Consider the following 6,581-nt stretch of genomic DNA (forward strand, 5'->3'; position numbering starts at 1 on the left):
TAACAACTATTTTAAGTAAAGGACATGAGAAGAAAGCATGAATGAATTCTTTTAAATTACAGAGTGAGAATTTTTTTAAGTTGACATAAAATCCAAAATCCCATAATGCCAATAAATTTGAATATATGAAAATTAGGGGGAAACAGATGCCATGACAAAAGGCACCTGAAGGAAAACCATAGACTAAAAATATATTTGTAACTCCCACTACTAAAACCAGAAAAGGCAAATTCCACTAATATTAAAAAAATCCTCAATCAATAAATAACAGACCAATAGAAAAATGGACAACGTATATATTATCCAAAAATAAACATAAGATGCTTCCAATGTATAAAATAATAAGCAGGATTCAAAATAGAAAAATGCAAACTAAAACAGCTTTGAGCTACCATGTACAATCTATTAGATTAGCAATGATATAATAAATAAAAATTTAATTAAACACTACAAACATATATTTTTGTTGAAGTGTTGATTGTTATAATTTATATGGAGGGAGATTCGACAATGGCTATCAAAATTAAAAATATATTTCCTCACTGATGCAGCAATTCCATTGCCAGGATAATATCCTACAGATGTTTGTCAAATGTGATTAATGGCACGTTACTTCTAATAGCAGAAGTTTGTGACAATCTTAATGTGTATCAATAGGAAAGACTTAAAAAAATTATGGTAGATTTATACAAAGAAGTACAATGCAGCAATAAAAAAGAATGATATAATATTTCTATATTGATGGAAATGATCTCTAAAACACCTTATTAATTAAAGGAAGTTACAAAAACACGTGTAAAATATAGTCAGTAACTTCTGTGTAACATGATAGGAAAAAAATATTTTTAACATATTTTTATAGAACTTGCCTGAATTTACTTGGTGTATCTCTGGAGGGATGCCCAAGAACCTGAGACTACAGGTTTTTGTGGAGACGGGGAACTGGTTGGCATATGAGTTCATGTGGAGACTATTCACCATACTTCTCTTTTGGGTTTTGAGCTATTTTAATCCCTTGCATATACAAAATCTAAATTTTAATGGAAGTTAGAAATAAGCAACAAAGATATGTCATTGTTATTTTTAATATTTTTTAGTTAAAATTAAAAACTTAATGTAAAATCCTATGTCAATGCATTCAGATATATGAAAATTAAGAGGGAAAATATTTTCTCCCCTAATTTCATCTACCATATTTTTCTAATGGCTGTCCTGATGAATGAACAAAATACTTAACACAGAGAGAGGTATGGGGAGCAAAAGAGAACCATAAATCCATGTTATAAGACACTTCTTAAAAGTTAGTGGGAAAAATATTTATCAAATTGTTGTCTAAGTTAAATCTAGGACTCCACTTGCCTATTTCCTGAGAAACATAGGTCCCCTGCACATGGAAATGTCCAGATTTTCTATTGCAGAGGCTAGGGAAGAGGAAGGCCAGTCATGGTTAGGAGTTGGTCTCTCAATATTTCTCAGTTTGCTAGGGATCTTGAACAAGCTATTGGCGTGTCCCAGTTTTTTACTTTGGATCCCTAATGAGAATCTTTCATACGGGAAAATTTAATAGAAAAAGATATTATACCATTTGAGGAAAGGTAACCTCTTTTTCATTTTCTTTTTCTTTAAGGGAAGATTTCATTCATTAGGATTAATAGGCCAGAACTCTCTGTAACACTTTCTTCCACCCTCCCTTTATTCACTTACTAGTCTATTTGTCCATTCCAGCCACCTCTCTCCTTCCCTAGACCTCTGAGGTCTGGGGAATCAATACACAAAAGTCCTGGCACAGGCAAGCAAAGAAATAGAGGTTCTCTCCTTAATCTCCATATGAATGACACATCAATGGCCATGACATTATCCTTGTCCCACTACAGGTTTCATTTCCTAGGTACCACATGAGGATGAATCAGGTTCAGTCTTCTAGGGCCACACTTACCACATCTAAATAATTGTTATATATTTGCCATTCTTACTGTCATTATTAATGATATCTACTGGTGGGGGTACAAACAAGATACAATCCAGAGTGATGCTTTATGAGCTCCTTGGAGCAAAGTGCCACATAAAAACGAAGGAGTTGGTGATAGTGCAGAAAGACAGGATGGCAGAGTTACAAGGGAGTTGCTTTTACTCAGAGAAGGGAGGAGTATTAGTGCTTTTATAGTGAATGAGCTGGGTAAGGAGCCCTTATAAAGTTATAAACAATTAGCCCTCTCAGCCTCTGAAGATGGTGATCAGTTTCCAATGAAACAATGGACAGGAAAGTGTTTTGCATATATTATGCCAAGTATGTCTTAGCATTTTAGGAGTGTTTTGGAATGATGGGTGTCACTGGTCAGGTTCCTTTGGAAACCTACTCTGAGACAGAGATTGACACACATATGGTTCAGTGGTGAATACTCTTAGGAATAGTACCTGTTGGAGGGGGATGATGAATGTAGGATCAGACAGAAAGAGCAGTTGTACTAAAATGCAGTAGCAGCAGAGGCCCAAGCCAATTCTACTGGGATCTGGGATTTGCCCTAAAGAAATAACCCAAATTAGGGCAAAGGGGCCAGGCTTTTATATCCCTTAGTATTTTGCCGTTACTGCAGACAGTTTTAAAAAAAGAAGGCATTCCCTAGGGAGAGGGTGTGATCTTGGACAAAGCAGCTCTTTAGCCAGCCAAAGGCAGGTTTTGGAAAAGGGACAAGCTACCTATACTAATATTCCTACCTAATATTACCTACACTAATATTAGCTACCTACACTAATATTCCCAACACCTGGGGAAATGAATGCTTCAGTCATGATGGTGGGCTTCTGGTCAACTTTCATAGCACCCAGTACAAATGGGGCTGAACAGGTTAAAGATGGGATTGTAATCACAAACACCTGCACATATGAAAAATTCAGTTCAGACTAGTCACCTTTCCCTAAGAATAGTATGGATCCAATGCATCTCTTCTCAGAAAAAGAACACCATGTGACTGATCTGTGTTATTCTAACAGTCACTTCCAGAATTTCTCAGGAATCTGATAGAAGTGGATTTGTGTTTGGCACTGACATTTACCTGCATTCCTGGCACAGGTCTTCGTCTCCTCAAAAACACACCTGAGAACTCAAATAGCTCACAGTTGGAACTGCCGGCAATCTTACGTGTGATGACAAAATGGAAAGGTTCAAGCCAAGAAAAATGTAAAAAGACATACGGCGTGACGGATGATGCCTCATTCCAAGAAAGCCACAGGAAAGTTAATCCACCCTTACCTGAGGGCATTCAAGTACGAAGAAAACACACATCGCAGCCAAGCCCTTCCCAGTCAGCGGGACCAGAAGCAGTCCTGGCCATGTGCGGGGGTGGAGGAAGTGACTGCTACTCCCTGTGACTTAGAGGGGCCATCAAAGCCCTAGGGTCCCAAAGTAGTTCCTCCAGATGTAATTTATTTCCTGAAATTCCACCATGCCCTATTTATGGCTCTGATCCTTGTTTGAAAATATAATTCCTTTCACAATTATCTGTCCTAAAAAGGCAGGGACAGGGATTCATGAGAAGTCGGTTTATGCTAATTATGCCAGGAACTAACCATGTGACCTTGAATAAGCCTCTTCTCTCTGGGACTCGGATTCTGTAGTCTGGTACAGTGTCTGTGATTCTGATGGCTTTGGCTTTTTGTAGCATATGTGTAGCCTCTCACTACTGCGGACTCCAGACCATCTTTATGTGCTACCACCACTTATTTTAAAAATTCTGATTTGGTTTTATTGCTGATATTGGGTATCTGACAACTTCTGTTTCTAAAATGTGACAAAATGTTTGGATCGTTGAGCCAGCATGCCCAACTCAGGAAAACTTTTGTGCCTTTTCCAGGAAAAGCTCTCCCATTAGAGTTTGTGTGTGTGTGTGTGTGTGTGTGTGTGTGTGTGTGTGTGTATGTCTCAGGGGAAGGGAGAATATGCAGAACCTGCTTCCAAGTGTGAGCTTTAGTCACATTCTCTGAAATCTTTCTGTGTGTTACCTTACAGCTCCACCAAGACAACTGATCAAGAAGCCCCTGCAAACAGGAGGGGTGGGAGTCTCCATGGAAACTCCACAGTTCCCAGAGTAAGGTACAGGCTTGCCCTCATCACATCTTTTCAAGTCACCTTTCTCATTCGCACTTCAGTGTCCCATAGTGACTGGTATGTTTTATTTCAAATACATGGTTAAATAAATGGATGAATGGCTAAAAAGAATGAATGAGAATGAAAGACAATCAGTTTCCCAGCAGAAACCAAGGGAGATGGGATTCTAAAGAAAATTACTTGCTGAACAGGGTTAAGGAAATCAACAAAGGATATTGAGGCTTCCAGGGACTAATCACAGCAAGAAGCCATTGCCATGCCCCCAGCTGAAGAGCCATCTAGAAGGCAGAGAGAGAGAGAGGCATAGCTGCTGCTAGACCGTGATAACAAAGCAAAGTGGGGAGAAGGCAGAGGAAGACATGCCTGGAGTCTTTCTTCTTTCCTTTCATCTTTTACTGGTTTATCCTACTGGCCAAACCCAGCTAGAAGCCAGAAAGCAAAGGGGGTACCCAGCATTCAGCCTTTAGAAATCAGCACCCAGCATTCTCGAGGACAGAGCAGCGAGTTATAAATGGGGATATAAATGGAGAATAGCAGCACAGAGAATACAAAAGCAATTTTTCATGGAGGAAAAACTTCATGTAGGCATAAGATCCTAGAAGAAAGAAGATTCATCAGGAGAAAGACAAAAAAGTCACATGGAGATGGTGGAGAGAGTGTCAACTAATTCTAGTTATGTGGGCTTTAGAAATAACTGGTCAGGACTGATACTGCATTTAAAGAATCTTAACTGATTTTCCTTTGATCCAAGATATTCTCAAGGAGTATTCTTGAGTGCCTAGTGTACTCTCCAAAGGGACAAGCTTAGACAGTATCACTTTTTAGAATAAAATAATTTAAAGAATAGTCATTTCCTAATGATTTCATTTGTACTAGGCACCATGCTAGAAGACTTATGTGAATGATCTAATTTCATTCTCACAAAATCTGTGAGAGACAGATTCTAATCTCTGCTTCACAGTTGAAGGAACTGAGATTAACAGTGGTAGGGTGAGTTGCTCAAAGTCATATAGCTAGGAATTGAGAGAGACAGGTTGGTTTGACTACAAAGCCATTTTTTCCTCCCAGTTATGGGTTAATTACTCCACTATGCTGGTTTGGGTTTGAATCTTCTGTGACCTTTTCCTAAAATTACCCTTGAGCAACTGGATTCAACTAGATTTGTTCTTACTGACTACTACAGGTAACTACTGAGTGAGTTTTGATAACTCCACTAGAGGACTAAGGAGGAAATGCATGTAACTTAAGAAGATCACATACAATCAATCAATCCAGAAAGCCCAGCATTTTGTTTACCATCTAAGACTATGTAGAGACATTGGTGTATCAAGGGAAGACACCTGGTATGTTAGGGTCCTATGCTGCATATCAAGTTAATTAGAACCTACATCTTACTATAGCTTCAAAACAGGACAGTATAGTAACATACTCAGATTGTGGTAAGAGAGAGAAGCTAATGATGGGATGTAGAAAATGCTACCCGAAAACATTGCACTTTGAAAATTGAGAAAACAGCAGAAGCAGGAAGGGTACTTCCACTTTCCTCCCATCCTTCTTCCCTGAAGCAGGCCATATAACATAGTCTGACCATTTTCCTCCCTTCTCCCTAGTAGATCCTTATGTGACAGGTGTCCTGCCCTATACTCAGAGGGAAGAAATGTAACACAGGGATGCCAAAAAGAATCTGAACTAACAAGCCTTGCTAAGTTCACCCCACTTTATTACCTTTAGATCATACCCTTTATGATTCTTCAGTCCTGCTTCTGCATGACTGTCCATAAAAATACACAAATTTCCCTTTTCCTTTGGGTCTTCATTTCTGAAAACTCCTATGTCATATAAAACTTATATATTGGCTGGGCATGGTGGCTCACGCCTGTAATCCCAGCACTCTGGGAGGCTGAGGCAGGCAGATCACGAGCTCAGAAGATCGAGACCATCCTAGTTAACGTGGTGAAACCCCGTCTCTACTAAAAATACAAAAAATTAGCCAGGCGTGGTGGTGGGCGCCTGTAGTCCCAGCTACTCAGAGGTAGAGGTGGGAGAATGGCTTGAACCTGGGAGGCGGAGCTTGCAGTGAGCCGAGATCATGCCGCTGCGCTCCAGCGCAGGTGACAGAGCAAGACTCCATCTCAAAAAAAAAAAAAAAAGTACATTTCTATGTTTTTTCCTTGTTAATATGTTTTGTTATAGATATGTCAGCCATGAACCTGGCAGTGAGGAAGAAGACAGTAGTTTTTCTCCTCTGCAGTTTCCAGCATTCTGGGTGAGCTTTCCATTGCTCCCAGTATCAGCATTGAGGAGAGTAGATTTCCACATGTGCTTGTGTTGTCTAGAGGGCTCTCTTTCTTTCCATCCATCTTTCTCGCCCTGCCCACACATAACCTCCATTGTGCTCCCTATGTATTGCTCTATGCCTTTAGGATGAGACGTATCACACTGTGTTCTAAATATTTACCTAGCTCTCTCTGCAATT

The 6,581-nt window shown here is 39.5% G+C and overlaps 1 annotated feature.

The window, feature by feature from the left end:
- Positions 3,944–4,513: an enhancer, noted in NCBI's record as "OCT4-NANOG hESC enhancer chr18:36132751-36133320 (GRCh37/hg19 assembly coordinates)". NCBI's record gives its function as "activates a minimal SCP1, AML or CMV promoter by ChIP-STARR-seq in naive H9 embryonic stem cells {active_cell/tissue: H9 hESC(naive)}" and the evidence as "EXISTENCE:reporter gene assay evidence [ECO:0000049][PMID:30033119]".

This window comes from Homo sapiens, chromosome 18, assembly GCF_000001405.40.
Source record: "Homo sapiens chromosome 18, GRCh38.p14 Primary Assembly".
NCBI lineage: Eukaryota > Metazoa > Chordata > Mammalia > Primates > Hominidae > Homo > Homo sapiens.